Raw genomic sequence first — 18,047 nt, 5'->3', positions numbered from 1 at the left:
TTCTTCTTTAAGTAACTAAGTTTTGGGGTGGTTTGTTATATTTGCCTACTACATGTAGGACAGTTTTCCTGCCTCAGTTGTTTCTCACATCACTTTGTGAAATGGTCTTCTTGACTTATCTCCATGGCATGTGTCTATTCAGTTGGCCTGTTTGGTTTCCTGAGTTTTGACCACAAAGTATTTATAGAGTATTTATTGTGTGTAAGGTACCATGCTAGGGGATGGGGATAGCATAAGTTAATAACATGCATGTAACCTTGGGTTGTGTGGAATGAATTCTGTGCTTCCTTCCATTCACTTGATTACATGAAAATATTCTGTAAATGTTTTTAAAAAACATTTAAAAGATAAGTGAGAGACACATTATTGCATAAGTTAGAAATAACTTGGTTAACATCAAATAAAATAAGAGGAGACAAGTGGGGATGAATGGCTTGTAGGTAGCAATCCTACAAGCTAAGAACTATGAACTGGGACTCGTAAGTTTTAATTTAATTGTTATAATACCGTATCTTGCAGAACACTGCGGGGAGCCAGAGCTAATTTTTCTCCTTATTCTATCTCTCTTACTAATCTCTTCTCTTTATTCTTACTAATGAACCCAGGTTCTCTGGCTAAAGCCTTTTCCATATCCAGATCCAAATGAGTTTGATCTCCCTGTGATACAGGGGTTGGAGGCAGAAAGAGAGGAGGCTGGGAAAACAAAAACAAGAACAAAACCAAGCCAAACAAAAAATCAATGACTGGCTCTGACTTTAGATAGATCTGGTTTGAATCTCAGCTCCAATATATAATAACAGGTAGATTGTCTCATTTTTTTTTTCATGTGATAAGTGGGTTTATATCGTCTGCTTTATGAGATGTTGTGGGGATTTGAGGTAAGGAGTTTGGATATAATACAAAGCCTTTTGTAGAAAGCTAGAAGTGCTCCAAAAGCTCTCCACCACAGCAGATGGGAATACAAAATGGCACAGACACTTTAGAAAATACTTCTTGTTTTTAAGTTAAACATACCCTACCATATGATCCAGCCATTTCATTTCTAGGTAGTAACCCAAGAGCAATGAAAACATAGGTTCACTCAAAGCCTTCTTCACAAATGTTCATAGCAGCTTTATTTTTAATATCCCCAAACTAGAAGTAACCCAAATGTTCATTAAGAGGTGAATGGTTAAAGAAATTGTGGTATATCTACAATGTGAAATACTACTTGGAAGTAAAAAAGAATGACCTATTGCTATGTACAACAACACAGATGATCTGAAAATAATTATTCCAATGGGAAGAAGCCTGACAAAAAAAGAACACATAAAATACTATTCAATTTATATAAACTGTGGAAAATGCAAACTATAGTGACAGAAACTAGATCAGTGGATGCTAGAGACAGGACTGGAAGAAGATATGGATTATAAATGGGCATGAGGTAACTTTTGGGGGAATGGAAACATTTGGTATTTTGACTGGTGGTAGTTTCACAGATATACCCATGTGTCAAAACTCATCAAATTGTACACTTTAAATACATGCAGTTGATTGTATATCAATTATACTTCAATAAAGTAATTTTCTATAAAAGGCAAAAAAGAAAAAGCCTGAAGTGCACCAAAGTGATTTTTAGCGAACAGAACATGGAAAGCTATGATAGAGTTACAATCCAGTTAAGTTCAGTGTTTAAAGAAATTATTTTTTACTGCTTAGACTTGAGGAGGATGGCAATTTAAACAAATATGGCTATTCCTCAGCTTGTTGTGCCTTACTTTATTGCAGCAGTCCCCAACCTTTTCAGCACCAGGGACCGGTTTCATGGAGGACAATTTTTTTCAATGGACAGTTGGTGGGGGATAATTTCGGGATGAAACCATCCCACCTCAGATCATCAGGCATTAGATTCTCATAAGGAGCGCACAACCTGGATCCCTTGCATGTGCAGTTTACAATAGGGTTCAGGCTCCTGTGAGAATCTAATGCCGCAGCTGATCTGACAGGAGATGGAGCTCAGGCGGTAATGCTCATTTGCCCACAGCTCACCCCTGCTGTGAGGCTGGGTTACTAACAGGGAGGGTACCAGTCCCTGGGGGTTGGAGACCCCTTCTTTGCTGCACTTTGCAAATATTGTTTTTATTTATTATTATTATTTTCTTTTATTTTTACAAATTTAAGGTTTGTGGTAACCCTGTGTTGAATAAGTCCCTCAGTGCCATTTTTTCAGCAGCATGTGCTCACTTCATGTCTCTGTGTTAGATTTTGGTAATTCTCACAATATTTCAGACTTTTTGTATTATTCTTGTATCTGTTATGGCGGTCTGTGATCACTGGTCTTTGATGTTACTATTATAATTGTCTTAGGATGCAATGAACTGTGCCTATGTAAGATGGCAAACTTAATTAATAAATGTTGTGTGGTTCTGACTGTTTCACCAACTGGCTGTTCCCCCAACTCCCTCTCTCTCCTGGGGTCTCCCTATTCCCTGACCTAATATTGAAATTAGGCCCATTAATATAACCCTACAGTGGTCTGTAAGTGTTCAAATGAAAGGAAGAGTCTCATGTCTCTCACTTTAAATCAAAAGCTTAATAGGGAGGAAGGCATGTCAAAAGCTGAGAACTAGGCCTCTTGAGCCAAACTGCTAGGCAAGTTGTGAATGCAAAGGAAAAGTTCAAGAAGGAAATGAAAAGTGCTGCTCCAGTGAACACACAATGATAAGGAAGCAAAACAGTCTTATTGCTGACATAGAGAAAGCTTTGGTGGTCTAGATAGAAAATCAAACCAGCCACAACATTCCTTTTAGCCAGGGTCTAATCCAGAGCAAAGCCTTAACTCTCTTCAATTCTATAAAGGCTGAAAGAAAGGTAAAAAATCTTCAGAAGAAAAATTTGAAACTAGCAGAGGTTGGTTCATGAGATTTAAAGAAAGAAGCTGTCTCCATAATACATGAGTAAAAGGTGAGGCAGTAAGTGCTTAGGTAGAAGCTGCAGCAAGTTATCCAGAAGATCTAGCTAAGATCATTGATGAAGGTGGATACACTAAACAACAGATTTTCAATGTAAATAAACATCCTTATATTGGAAGAGGATGACATCTGGGACTTTCCCAGCTAGAGAGAAGTCAGTGCCTGGCTTCGAAGCTTCAAAGGACAGGATGACTCTCTTGTTAGAGGATAATGCAGCTGGTGACTTTAAGTTGGAGCCAATGCTCATTTGCTATTCTGAAAATCGTATGGCCCTTAAGAATTATAATAAATCTACTCTGCTTGTGTTTTATAAATGGAAAAAGAAAGCCTGATAGCAGCACATTTGTTTACAGCATATTTTATTAAATATTTTAAGCCTACTGTTGAGAGCTACTGGCTTCACAAAAAGATTCCTTTCAAAATACTACTGCTTATTGACAATACATTTGGTCATCCAACAGCTCTGATGAAGATGTACAAGAAGGTTCATGTTGTTTTCATGCCTGCTAACACAACATCTGTTCTGCAGCCCATAGGTCAAGGAGTAATTTTGCCTTTCAAGTCTTCTTATTTAAGAAATATATTTTGCTAGGCTACATCTGTCATAGATAATGATTCCTCTGATGGATCTGGGCAAAGTAAATTGAAAAGCTTCTGGAGATCATTCACCATTCTAGATGCTAGAAGAGTTGCTTCTGTGGATGAGCAAAGTAGTTTTTTTTGAGATGGAATTTACTCATGGTGAAGATGCTGTGAATATTGTTGAAATGACAACAAAGGATTTTGAATATTTTATAAACCTGACTGATAAAGCAGTGGCAGAGTTGAGAGGACTAACTCCAATTTTGAAAGAAGTTCTACTGTGGATAAAATGCTATCAAGCAGCATTGCATGTTACAGAGAAATCTTTTGTGAAAGGAAGAGTCAATTGACACAGCAAACCTCATTATTGTCTTATTTTAAGAAATCGCCACAGCAATTCCAACCTTCAGCAACCACTACCCTGATCCATCAGCAGCCATCAACACTGAAACAAGACTCTCCATCAGCAAAGAGATTAGGAATCACTGAAGGCTCAGATCATCAGTACACTTTTTTTAAAAAAAGCATTAAACCATTTTCAAGGTAAGATATGTACATTTTTAAGACAAAATGCTATTGCATACCTAATGGACTGCAGTATGGTGTAAACATAACTTTCACATGTGTTGAGAAACCAAAAAAATTGTGTGACTCACTTTATTGCAATATTTGTGGTGGTTTGGAACCAAACCTGCAACATTTTTGAGGCATGCCTGTAGAAGGTAAGAAGTATCAACAAAAAATTTCTGTTAAATTAGGAGAATCTTTACTACTTTGTTTCCTTTGAAGAGAATGCAAAAGATTTTATTTTGTCTAGGAGATGCTGGAAATAGGAATATCTTGATCTAAAAATTATTGGGAATTATTTACAAAAAGCACAGAGGTTATGATAGAATTTCAGCATCATATGACATTGGATAAGAAATTTTGTTCTATTTTGTAATTAATTTATATATCTGTTCTCTTTACTTTTTCATATATTGTAAAAACACAGTGGGTTTAGTTAGAAAAATAAGGCTGAAAATGTCCCACACTTAAACAATACAAATAAAATTTTAACAAGATGACAAAACTATAGATTACAACCACAAAAAGTTAATGAATTAGAAGGTAGAAAGATTATAATGTATGCTTTATGTTTTTTTGTATGTGTGTGTGTGTGTGTGTGTGTGTGAAAAGAAAGCCAATGTTCTAAAGTGATTTTGTAAGTGACTTCTTTCTAGTACAGAGTCCAAGTTTCCAATGTCATTCCTGCTTGAATTTCATCACACTATTGAACACAGCAGACAAAAAAATACTGTAAGATTTGCAGTGCAACAGTGCCAGGTGTTTTAAAATGTAAACGTTGCTTTCCTGGATATAAGTTACTATGTAAGTGGAATGAAATATTTAATCACATGGCATAAATCTTTTGAAAGAGACTATCTGAGAGATCCTTGGAAACAAATGATTGCTGTATACTACTAGACAAAGTCAAATATGCCATAGAGCAATTAGTTACGGTAAAACTTGCCTTGTTTAGTTTTGGTGCTTTGTTTTAAATGATTTCAACTAGTCTCAGCTATTTAAAAAATACATTCTTTTCTTTCTTTATGACTGTGCTAATTTAGATTATCAAGTTAAAATAGAACTGCTCCAGAAATTCAGAGTGAATGGAAGGGTGTTTAATAATAACTTTAATACACATTTTACAATTTTTGAACATACAGAAACATTTTGAAAGCAAACCCCCAGCTCAAATAGTAAGTTCACAAAAATCTAAATGTTAAGGTTACAGATGGGACCTAGCTTGATTTGGACTGATGTAACAAAACTTTATAAAATCGGTGGAGCTATTTTTTATAAAAATGACCACCTCAACATAATTAAATTACTTGATGCATTTTAGATACAAAATATGGTTGATTTACTAAGCATGTTAAGATAAAATAGCTAAGTGAAGCACATATTCTATATTTCTTTGTAAATATGGTATGTAGTATTACTTTTATTTTATAGCTGGTGAAGAGAGCTTGTGATACCTAATTTGTCAATGGTTTCAGTGAATCACAGCTATATAAAAGCACAGACCTTTAGAGCTGGAAGGAATTTAGCTATCTTGACCATTATTGGTCTAGTTGAAAAAGAGGTATGAAAACTGGCTCCAAAACCAGATTCTTGAGTTATCTTTCCTTGTAAAGGACTTGTAAAATTTCCTGGGTCAGCATTCCCTTTCTTTGTTTCAGATTTTCTTTTTCTGAATTCATTCTTACTAATTATTCATTTTTGAATAGTCTTCTAATCACTAGATTAAGGTTTTGCTCATCTCCAAACATGATCGAAGTGAGCCTCAGAAGACCCTTCATTTGAGCTCATATGCACAGCGCTTAAACCGACACCCAATTTGACCAAACATGTAAGGACATGACCTTCCAGCGTCATGAATATCACGACGTTCCTTTAGCAAGGGCTTTGCTTAATAGGGCTGCAGTGAAAATCCTCCGTCTAAATCCTTGAGAAGTTGTAATTTGTAAAAATGCAAATTATCTGAAACCAGATATTTTTTTCTTTTTCTTTATGGAGAGAAACTGGTCTGTTACATCTAGTAAAGCGTTCTAATCCGGTTGACCCTCTAGAGGGAGACATAGTCCAGCTTTTATACCAGTTGCCTCCTCATCTTTTACTGTCTCGTTCTTTTTCTGCAGGACCGTTGTTTGCTCTCAACGGCAGTTGCTGGGGCTAACAGAACTGGCTGTTGGGAGAGAGAGGCGAGGCAACGCCGCCCGGCCCTGCCATTCCATTTTACTGCTTAACTCAACCTGGAGTGTCAGGACCTATTCTCCTGCATTCTCGCTGCACTATACGGGGGAGCCAAGTCACTCTGTACTCACTGGACAGCCAGGCTGGGTGGAATAGGGTTCTAGAGTGGAGCAGGGGCTCTGCCCTTTATGGCGACTTTCTAAAAGATTAGCATCAGTGTCTTTTGACAGTATAGCATCTGGGGTGGGACGCGGAGAGGAGGCTTTGCTTGCTAAACGGCTTCTTTCTCCGCCGGTGATCTGGATTTGTTTCCTCGGCCCCCTCCCCCCGCTCCTTTCTTTCTCCCCTCCCGCCTTTAGCAAAGTGACACAGGCGACACCTGCTCGCTTGTGTTCGATGTTGGAACTCGCACCTCCTCGGTGGTGACGGTGCCAGGGCACTGCTACCAGGGGGACATCGGCGGGTTTCCCTTCCTTCCAGCCCACGATGCCTAGAAGGGCAGCGGGTGGGCTGCGTGGGGCTCTGCCCGCAGCACTTCGAGGCGGGATTGAGGGGCTGAAGCTGGCCAGGAGTTGCTGCTAAGTGGATTCGAGTGGAAGGCGCCAAGTCTCCGCGAGGGCACCAGCGGGGACCTATCTGCGAGCAGTGGGAACAGGGGCACCTGGACGGAGGAACGCGGGCGTCTGGAGGGGGGACATCGGCTGAGCTCAGAGCCTCTCCTCCTTCCTGTCCCGAGCTTCCCAGCAACTCCGCCACGTTGGAGACCCGGTACCTGCGAGAGCCAGGGAACTCGAGAAGTGCGTGGCCGAGGCTGCTTTCCTGAAGGTGAATCATTCTGTCCAATTGCCTTTCCCCAGAGAACAAGAGGGAGGGCGGGAGAGAGGGAACGGAGGATGTGTGAGTGTGTGTGTGTGTGAGAGGGAGAGACGACGTGAGGCGAGAGGAAAAGTCTTTAGTCGGCCTTAAAAGCAAACAAATCAGAGATGGAATAAGAGCGGTAATTGCAGCAAGACCGCCTTGATTCTTGCAGTCCAGGGAGCTGAGCGCACCGCGCGCATCCGGCGAGGACAGGAGGCGACCGCGGGCGCTGCCAAGGGCTGCGGGACTTTGGCTTTTCCTCAGTAAACAAATCTTTTGATTACTTTGACACTGTGGAATAAAGAAGCGGGGAGAAGGATCAGGCTCACCTTCACCCGCTTCAGGGGGATTCCAGCTTGGATGTCAGATTCCTGAACCGTCTTTGCCATCGGAGGAGGAAACACATCCACACACGCGCGCGCACACTCGCACGCTCAGGGCCACACTCACACGCCGCCCTCCACGATCACACAGCACCAGACTTCGGTTCCCTATGCCCCTGGATGGTGACGGCGGATTGGCATCTTGGAAGCGATGCGAGAGCGATAAGGCTGGCGCCGGCCCGCAAAAGCTGCAGGAGCATCGCTAGGTGTTGCCGCCACCGGGAAGCGGGGCTGCAGGTAGGTGCGAGCCGCGCCTCGGGTCGCCGGCCAGCGCTGGGGACCGGAGCGGCAACTGCAGGACCGCGGTCCCGGAAGCCCCCGTGTGCACACGTCTCCCTTCCCCTTTCTCGGGGGTCCGGGACTGTAGAGGGATCGCCCGGGGAAGGCGAGAGGTGAGGGCAGATGCGGGTCCATCGGCCGGCGTCTCCCTCGCGGGCGGTCAGGGTAGGGGCGGAGTAGAGGGACGCCGAGAGGGGATCGGAGCATGCGAAATGAGGCTCCGTGAGCGGTGCCCTCCCTCTCTGCCCCATTTCTCCTAATAACAGCAAACGACCAGGTCGAGGATTGAAGTGGGTTGTAATTCGATTCCTCACCCAGACCCATCCTGGCTGGTAACCATTTTGGACTCTTAATAAGGAGTTGGGGGTCGCATTCCAGGGAAGATCAATGGGATGTGTCAGGTCATCTTTCTGAAATCCCTACTTTTTGTCCACTTCTGATTAGTTAATTCTCAGGCCTGTTTGCAGAAGGTGGGTGTTTCAGCGAGTCTATTGATTTATCCACCTCTAACTATCTTCATAAAGAATCAAGCTGATAATTTCCGGAGCCTCATCTATGTAAGGTTTATTTAGATTTGGGACGGGGCGCTTTCTTACTGAATGAAATAAAGCTTTTGTAAAGGCTACTACAAGAGAGCTTTAGTAAATGATTCTCTTAACGAACAGCGTTCAGAATAAGAATGGCTTCGGGAAACTAATGGTTTTTTATTTCTTTCCGGTTAGATGTCTCCCGGATCTTGCTACTAGTACCCGGGTTTTCTGCTAACTGCTTTGCCATTCCTTCCCCCTTCAATTCTGAAAGGCCAGGTGCCTACCAAGTATTGTTTTCTTGAGGCTACTGATCTTCACTTATCAATGGGGGAACGTGTTATTTTCAGAAACTGGCTTTGCAAAGGAAAGTTTGAGATCCGTCGCCCTATTTCTCTCAGAACTGCAGGTTGAGTTATCCTGTCTGAAAAGGAAGAACCATAGACGCTCGTAGAGCCTTTGGGTGGACGCGAGGCTTCCCTATTGAGTATTCCACGTCCTGACCGAGTGTTAAACAATTGCCTGAAGCGTTTGGAATCAAATGTGTAGTAATGTTACTCCAGCGGCTAGTCTCTCTTCACCTTTGCTGCGTGAGTTTGATTATGGCAATAAGAGAGAGAGAGGGAAAAAATTATCTTTTTGTGAGTATGAAATCCCCTCTTGGATTTTACAAAATGGTTCGTGGAGAAAAAAAACCTTAAAAACCACAGACACACACACACACACACACACACACACACACACACACAAAGCAAACTCATAAGCAACCTTTACTCTGAAGTGTCCCCAAAGTACTTGGTAGTGTAGCAGGGTCCTTCACACAGGACAGGATGAATTTCAGTTACTATTGACTGAATGATAATTATCTGATTCTTGTCTTCTCAACTAGATTGTTTTAAACATCAACATTCAGAGTTGTCAATTAACACTCCTAAACTGCTTTATTAGGCATATAAGTTAAGACAAATGAACAATTAATTTAAGATTTTTGTGTAAAGTGCTAAACCAAAATAACCAGGAAAGGAGATTAAAAACACTTCTAAAGCTTTAAAAATCAGAAGATTAAGATTATTTGTACTTACCCCAGCCTTTCCATGTTTGCATTTGTACTCTCAGACTGATTAATCATTTGCAATATCAAAATTGGCACCTAACATCCTATATTTCAAATAAAAGATCAGACATGTTTGTCTCTTTCCTTACTTTATTTTGTTTTGAATCTCATCCTGAGTCAATTGTTTGAGTTGACCTTTCTTTTTAGAATCTTAATTTTTAAAGCCACCAGTAGCCACTTAAAGGCCATCAGTTACCACACTGGAGCTTATAAATATTTTCATTTTCCTAATTTTCAATAAAAAAGTTGGATTGTATTATTTATAGATACTAAAAGTCCGTGAGGTTGATGTCACTGCCAACTGAATACTTAGGCACAGGGAATCTTTTAAGAGGCAAATGGCTTTAGTGTGTTGTTTTATTCAGATTAGGCATTTTTTTTTTTATGTGAAAATCTTGATTCTTTTCTTGCCTTTAAAAAATTTAGTACTTTAGGATGCTTGAATTCATATTTATGTAGAGTGCTACGATATGTGTCTCTTAAAGATGAACCCAGAATTTTTGACATTAAAGCAAATGCCTATATAATGCTACAGGTTCTGCTAAAGGGGAATTAAGGCTTCTAAGTATATGTGATATTGCATTAGAAAAATATTAGCTATTTTAACAATGACAAATTGGAGAATGAAGATTCATTGAGTTGCCTATGGATTTATGTAAAAATAGATTACATATTGCTTAGAGATGGCAATATGGTATTTACTAACCACCAAGTTATAAAATGTGATGACATGGCTGTAAAAATATGTTTTTAGATATGGCCAGTTTTCCTATTTAAAAATTTATAAAATGATAAAATTTAGAGGGTGGTAGAAAAATTTAAAAATTATTTTATATTTTATCAGAAAATGTTAGTAGTCCTGGATCCAGTGTCTTCAATGTAGTATTTTGATGATCATTTTTAAATGTATTTTTGTGTTAAAATACACATTTAAGGATGATTTATCACTAATTGCAAGTTATGGATTACCTTATACAGGAAGGGTAAGATATGTATCTTCAGGATTTCTCAGTCATTTCTTATCTTGGCCCCTAAGAAAAGGTCCTGTCAGATTGCACCAAAGTTCAGCAATCACTGCAAACTGATGAACATTTACTGACGAACTCTCTAATGCATGTCCCAAACAAGGAATGTTCCAAAGTGTCATCAGTTATTTCTAATATATTTGAAAAGATGAAACAACCAGAGTGCAAACAGTTCAGTGCCCCTGCTTTTACTTCTGCAGTATTTTATTAGGGATGCCTCATTAAGTCACATTTTTCTGCAGCTGTTTTGTTCATTGAAGATTCAAGTAAAAATAAGGAACCTTACTGTGCAATGCAGTTTTGTTTTCTTGGTGAAAAATCACAACTTGGGGTAAAATAATCATCCAAGCCGTCATCCCCTTTGATCTATGCCTGACATTTGCAAATGCAATTCATCAACCTGTTATTAGTAGGGCTTCATCGAAACAAAGAGAAGAAATGCATTAACACAGCCTGCTGCTAGATATGAAGGCCAAACCAGCTGCATCAACTTCATATCTGGCCACATGCTTACACAAAATTTCACATGATATAGCCTGCTTTTGGACCACTGATTTTATAATGCCATGTAATATGGTGAATTTACCATCTTATTTGAAAATTCTTTGGTTAACTTTATTTTGAACTACTTTGAGCATATTGAACTATTTAATTATTCCATCGAAAGAGAAGAAATAATTTCACACTGAGTTACCATTAGTCTTTAGAAAACAGTTTTACTTTAGGTTCGGAGCACAATCTGAAACAGGAGATTGACAGGTGAGCCCAGCAAACAGAGACATAGAAGTTAGTTTCTGTTTTTTAATTGTCATTGGCCACTGACTTATTGGGTAATTTTTAGAAGGTCTGATTTTGTTCATTCAGTGCAGTGATTCATTCAGTGCAGTGTCGTCAATGAAATAAACAATTCTTGTCTTCTTAATCTTACAGAAATTTTAAGAGGATAAGTTAGACATATTGGAATGTGAAAGTATTTAAATATATTTCTCTGTAGTACCTAACAATATAATCTCTGTATCTATACATATATGCACATGCATACATACATACATACATACATATGCTTTAAATGACACCCATGTAAAATACTGGTTTTACGTAACAGGGTGATCAGAACAACTTTGTAGAATGTCTGCCTTTATAGGTGCATAGTTTTTCCACTATTTTCCATGATTTGACTTGCAGTACAACTGTATGCATAGTGTGACAACGTCATTTATAACTGAGTTTTACTGTTTGAGCCATTGTTAATACATTCTATTTTTCTCATGAATTTTTCTTTTGGAGATACTTTTATTTACTAGGCTACAAATGCAAAAAAAATCATTTTTGTCCTCAATGCGGAGACACTGTGGATGTTTTTATTGACACTACAACTGGGAATTTTGACACATTTTGAACGCTGAACATATCTGTGTGCTGCTGTCTTTATTGAATATACACCTCCATAGTCAATGCACAAACTATGTATTACATTGGCGTGTACTATTCTCGTTTAAAATGGTATCTACAAAATTGCCAGAAATATATTGATATCATACTCCAAATTTATGTTAGTTTTCCAAAATCCACCTGTTTCTAATGTGTATACCACATGGATATGTTGGATTTTATCCTGTGCTGTAATATTAGGCAAGCTAGTCAGTGGAATACTTAGGCAATTGATTGGTATTGCCATTGGAAAACATAAGGTTTCTAGTTTACTTGAAATCAGATGAAGAGTAAATATTTAAGCTGTAAGAAGAATACTCTATTTTGTTCAGTGGTTCATGTGGAGTATGAGATATATAACTAAGGAATCAGAGCTTATATGTTTATATTAGATAAAGTCCTTTTAATCACTTCCTTCAATCTCCTAAGTTACTCCATAGTAGCTGTAATTGTTTTATGATTTCCCCTGAATGGCTAGTTAGCAAAGTTACATCTCCCTTTCCCCAGCAATAGTACAAACATAGTCATTCAATTAAATTTATATTTATATTGCTTCTTTTAAACGTAGCTTTATGCAGTAGATTTTGGAAACTCTACAGAGAGATTCAATAATGTGATAATGTTGCATTCTAGCAATTACGGTGATAGGCTGAATTTAGTAATTTGACAAAATGAAGAGAACCAGCTGAACAAGTCTCCTGTACTATGTAAAGCTAACTCTCTACATGAAGCCTGGAAAGTTCAAAGTAGTTTTTGATGAATGCAAGGTTTGTTTTACTAAATATAAATAAATATATATATATTTGCTGCTACAAACTAGTCACTGCATAATTGCATGCATGTGAATGGGCAACGGTGTTGCCCTTTAAAGGTCATGCAAACATTCTGAACCTTTCAATTTTCAGTGTTAATTGCCTATGGCCTCCTGTAGCTGCACATGGAACTTTCTGTTGAGTTTAATAATAAAGAAAAACACTTTGACTTTCTTTGGGTGGATTATGCAGCTCTTTATAAACAAGTCTTTGAAAATAAATTATAGTGGGCACTAGAACAGAAGATTTTTGTAAAGGTGCATTTGTGCTTTGGAATTAAAGTTTTCAAACCAGAATGTCCTGGGCTATGAGGAGACAGATTCCTTCTGGTACAAAAAACTGATCATTCAAAATTATTGTCTATATCTGAAAACTCTGCCATGGTTTTAAAAGGGTTATGTGGTTATAGGAATTTTAATAGCAAACTTCCACCTAGTGATAGAACAAAGAGACTTTATTAAAATATATTCTTTGAGAGGGCAGGCCTTCCAGGACCTTACAAACAATAGGGCATTATATATTGATGGAATGAATTTGTGACTTTCAGATCAGTCAAGAATTTAGAAATGGCCATTCATATTACTTGAGAAAAACAACATTTATACTTATATTTTTATCATTACTAGCTTATAGACAGTTCTAATTTCACAGAGGCACTGTCCAGTACTATTTTATTTAAAGTAGGAAACCTGGTTACTGTTACCATTTCTTTCTTAGTTTAGTTTTACCTTGTTATAGTTATATGGTAAATGGCATACTCAAATTTGTTGGTGCTAGAGTGTTCAGAAAATTTCTCAGAAATGGCTATCAGACAAGTCAGTAGCTGTGAACTGGTCTTGCTTGCTATTTGGGTTCTCCAGCTTTGTTTGTATTTTCTTTGGAAAGTTGAGTCAAATTGAGTGAAATAGCTCTAACTTTAGTTCTTTTTCACAGTGTAGAAAGAGAAAAGAGGTAGACGATCCACATTTCAGTGAAGCAATTCAAAGGCCAAGGGGAGAATGAGAGGGCATTGAAATCTCATCCTCCACAAAACAGAGGCCCCATTTTGGAAAACTTTAAGGAAAAAACTTAACCTAATTTTTAAAAGTTTAGTTCTTGGACTAAATCTAATGACTGTTATATGACAGTTTTTTTCCTGCTAAGATATGTATGTATTTAAACATTATTGCCAACCCCTATTAGACTGATAATTGGCATGCTTATAAATATACATTCAGAATTGGGTCAGAATTTATACTTTTTTAGTTGAAGGTATGTTTGCTCCTTCCATCATTTGTTGAGTGGTTAAAATTCATTAGCTTGCTATTTGGGTTAGCAGATAAATTTTGAAATTGACTATTATAAAACCAGTGTGGTGCAGTGGCGAGAGCTCTGGAGATGCTTTGTAGCTCTAACAATAAATAACCATGTGGCCATGAAAAAACCACTTTATTTCTCTGTGCCTCAGTTTCTCAGCAACATATTTCTTCAGTGGAGTTTTTAAGACAATTAAAATAAAGTGTTTTTTCAGCCAGGCACGGTGGCTCATGCCTGTAATCCCAGCACTTTGGGAAGCTGAGGCAAGAGGATCACTTGAGCCCAGGAGTTCAAGACCATCCGGGCAACATGATGAAACCCTGCCTTTACAAAAGTAAAAAAAAAAAAATTAGCCAGGCATGGGTGTGTGTGCCTGTAGTCCCAGCTACTTGAGAGGCTGAGAGGGGGGAGGATCACTTGAGCCTGGGAGGTCACAGCTGCATTGAGCTGTGATCACACCATGCACTCTAGCCTGGGTGACAGAGTGAGACTATGCCTCAAAAAAAAAAGAATTTTTTTTTTCCCGTGTGTTCAGACCCACTAAGTATCATGGCATGGAAGTGCAATAATATAGCGTGACATATTTAACCTTAAGGAGCTTCCCTTTTAGTTAGGAAGTCAAGGAAAATCTAGCAGATAGTTTCTGGCATTTAAATACCTCATATATACTTTCCAATAGATAAGTAATCTGTTATATGACAGTTGTTTCCTGCTAAGATATGTATGCATTTAAGCATTATTGTAAACCCCTTTTAGACTGATGATTGGTGTGCTTATCAATATACATTCAGAATTGGGTCAAAATTTATACTTTTCTAGTTGAAGATATGTTTGCTCCTTCCGTCATTTGTTGAGTGGTTAAAATTCATTAGCTTGCTATTTGGGTTCTTCAGCTTTGTAAGATTGAGATGGAGATGATGAAGATGATGATAATGATGATTATGGTGATGACTAAAGGCTATAGACCTTGGGACATAAAATTGAATCAGATTTAATCTTATAATTTAGTAATGTTGCTTTATCTGCATGATGCTGTTTTGTTATAAAACAAGTTGTGATAGGTCATGGGTCTCAGGTTTTTTAGGGTTACATGTCTTTGCTCTACTGATGGCTTTCATAGTCACTGAAATAAAATTAGTTCGATCAACTAGGCTAGAAAATAAATAATCTTCATATATTATATGATAATTAAACATATTCATTCAAAATCTATGTATGAATTTTGAGAATTTATAATCCTTGGAAAAGTCTGTTCATTTATTCAATAAGTATTTATTGGGCACTGTCTTAGTCAGTTTGAGCTGCTGTGATAAAAATACCACAGATTGACTGGGTGCAGTGACTCACGCTTGTAATCCCAACACTTTGGGAGGCCGAAGTAGGTGGATCACTTGAGCCCAAAAGTTTGAGACCAGCCTGGGCAATATGATGAAACCCTGTCTCTGCAAGAAAATACAAAAATCAGCCGGGCATGGTGGCAAGTGCCTGTAGTCCCAGCTACTGGGGAGGCTGAGGTGGGAGGTTTGCTTGAGCCCAGGAGGTTGAGGCTGCAGTGAGCTGTGATGGTGCCACTGCACTCCAGCCTGACTGACAGAGCAAGACCCTGTATCAAAACAACTACCACCACAAACAAAAACAAAACCACAGACTGAGTGATAAACAATAAGCAGTAATTTCTCACAATTCTGGAGGCTGGGAAGTTCAAGATCAAGGCACCAGCAGATTTGTCTGGTGAAGGTCATCTTCCTGGCTTGTAGACACCCACCATCTTACTAGACCCTCATGTGGTGGTTGTGGGGTGGGGGAACAGGTATCATCTCTCTCATGTCTCTTCTTATAAGACAATAATACTATTCATGAGGGCTCCACTTTCATGATATAATTACTTCTCAAAGGTCCCACCTACAAATACCATCACATTGGAGATTTAGGCTTTAGTATATGAATTTTGGGAAGACACAAACATTCAGTCCATAGAAAGCACTCTCTAGGTGTTTGGGCTATCTTAGTATACAAAAAAGGCAGACATCTGCCCTCATGATATTTACCATTTTAGTATATTACTTGGAGTTTTGAAATTAATCTGAAGGAATGGTTCAACAATGTATTGTGCTGTATGTTTTCTTCTTAGTCATTCTTATTTATAGCTGTGAAGTATAGGTCTGAAAAGAAATAATTAAAATAGTTAAATATTTGAGTTGAAATGGATTGTGAAGAAAAATATTATAGAATATATTTGAGGTGAGGTATGTAATGCAGTGGATTGATTCTAGCTCACAAGGTCTGTCCTCAAATGGAGGGTGACACAAATGGTAGATGCAGAAGTTTAAATTTATGCAAAATATTTGGAACAGGCTCTGTAGTCCCAGAATGCCTTATTCCTCATAACAGTGCCTTTTAAACTTCTATGTGTACACAAATTACCAGGGAAATTTTGCTAAAATGAAGGTTCTGGAAGAGGGCCTGAGATTCTGCCTTTTTAACAAGCTCCCAGCTGAATACTGTTGGCCCGTGGACTATGGTTTGAGTTGCATGGCTTTAGAAAGCATTTTTATCACTAAATTTTATTCTGCACATTCGAAAAGGTGGGAAGCCTTCAACTCTTACCCCTTTGACAGGTTTCTCCCTGTGGCAAGCAGCTCAAACCTGGTCACTGACTCCAAACATTTTTCTCATAGGCTCTTTCATAGGAGCACAGAATTTGTAAGTGTTTTGCTTAGTTTTTTAACCTTCCATTTAGAGAACATATTTTTCCTCCAATACGTAAATTAGAAATTGTTTTTCACATATTAATACAAGTTTGGTTTACATCCTACAGTTTGAAGAGATGTTTATTTCATAACTAAGACATTATATTATATATCAATATATTCTAGTATACAAAGTCAATTTTAGTTCTCCAAATTATTTTTGGAATTTCAATAGTGACTTATTCCTTTTAGGGCTTAGATGTCAAAATTTTGGCCATAATGTCTAGGTTTTTGTTCTACTTGAGTAGCTACTATGTGTAGCGGGGGGGGGATGGACTTGAGAAAAGATGAAGCTTTCCTTGTGTATTTATTGGGCTTACAATTTTAAAATGAATATCTCTTCCTTTTTGTAAATTTTGCCCTGTTAATCTTAAATAACTTTCCATAAGTGATTCCTATAGGATTGAAGACATAATACTTTATGATTTAGGAAGTTTGAACTTCTTATCTTCATATATTAGAAGGATTTTCTCACCCTAAGCCAGTTTGGCTAATGTCAGAAGGTGTCATAGCTAAGGTACGTGACTCTATTCTACTGCTGTCTAGGACCTCATGTCACAAGCTCAGTTCACTGGATGAAATATTTCGTCATCAGTTTTATCAATGCTCTGGAAGTTCTTATGTTTCCTTATGCTGGTGTATTAATTATAAACTGAGATTAGATTTAGACATGTCAGTCTGAGGGAGTGAAGCAATTTGTTTTCTTTCAAGTTGTATGATTAATATAGTTCGTAATAGTCATGCTATTAAATCTTACTCAGTTTTTTTCTTCTAAGTGTTTACAAGTTTCTACTATATAGAATAGCTTTGCTTATAGCAGAGGAATGATATCAATTCATTCCACTGAATCTGTTAGACTGTAAGCTCTGTGAGGCAGACCCATGTATATCTCATTTCTATTGATTCTCAATGTTTAGCATAGTGTCTGGCATCTAATAGGTACTTAATAAACTTAATGGGAAGATGGGATCAGTAGTTACATAGTTACAAATTGATAGAGTGTAGCTTTATATGTTTCTTCAATGCCGAAGGGAGAATTCTGTGAAGAAGTGTCATTTCTAATTATGTGTGTGTGCACACGCGTGTGTGTATGTGAGAGAGAGACTCAGGGGGCGGGGGGCACCAGTTTTTCTGACCTACACCCGAATTAACAAATACATTCTAGGCAAAAGGTCAAGGACAAAAATAAAGTAAGCATGCTGACTGAAATTCTCATTCTTTCCATAATTTATTGTAACCTGGAGACTTAGAGACTACATACACTTGTGATTCTACTGTTGTATAAATTAAATAATAT

General features: G+C 38.2%; 1 protein-coding gene across 5 annotated transcripts in view, besides 2 other annotated features; it reads left to right on the top strand.

The window, feature by feature from the left end:
* TAFA2 (TAFA chemokine like family member 2) overlaps window positions 1-18,047 on the top strand; it is a 551,762-nt gene that overhangs the window by 61,023 nt on the left and 472,692 nt on the right. Inside the window, exons 1-2 of one of the 5 annotated variants that reach the window (XM_047428774.1) lie at window positions 6,239-7,100; window positions 7,608-7,753. The exons of 1 other annotated variant lie outside the window; for it this stretch is intronic. The gene's annotated coding sequence lies outside the window, so the exon portion shown is untranslated. Of the gene's footprint in view, window positions 1-6,238; window positions 7,754-7,796; window positions 8,128-18,047 lie in introns of those variants that run through there. 3 more of the 5 variants (XM_047428773.1, NM_178539.5, XM_024448965.2) reach the window with 3 other exon arrangements.
* Window positions 4,650-4,944: a silencer, noted in NCBI's record as "tiled region #3206; HepG2 Repressive DNase matched - State 8:EnhW". NCBI's record gives its function as "represses a minimal TATA promoter and a strong SV40 promoter by Sharpr-MPRA in HepG2 cells {active_cell/tissue: HepG2}" and the evidence as "EXISTENCE:reporter gene assay evidence [ECO:0000049][PMID:27701403]".
* Window positions 6,314-6,847: an enhancer, noted in NCBI's record as "H3K4me1 hESC enhancer chr12:62585946-62586479 (GRCh37/hg19 assembly coordinates)". NCBI's record gives its function as "activates a minimal SCP1, AML or CMV promoter by ChIP-STARR-seq in primed H9 embryonic stem cells {active_cell/tissue: H9 hESC(primed)}" and the evidence as "EXISTENCE:reporter gene assay evidence [ECO:0000049][PMID:30033119]".

This window comes from Homo sapiens, chromosome 12 (genome assembly GCF_000001405.40).
Source record: "Homo sapiens chromosome 12, GRCh38.p14 Primary Assembly".
NCBI classification, from domain to species: domain Eukaryota; kingdom Metazoa; phylum Chordata; class Mammalia; order Primates; family Hominidae; genus Homo; species Homo sapiens.
Note: the sequence above shows the minus strand (reverse complement) of the source record. Positions and strands in the feature narration are given on the sequence as shown.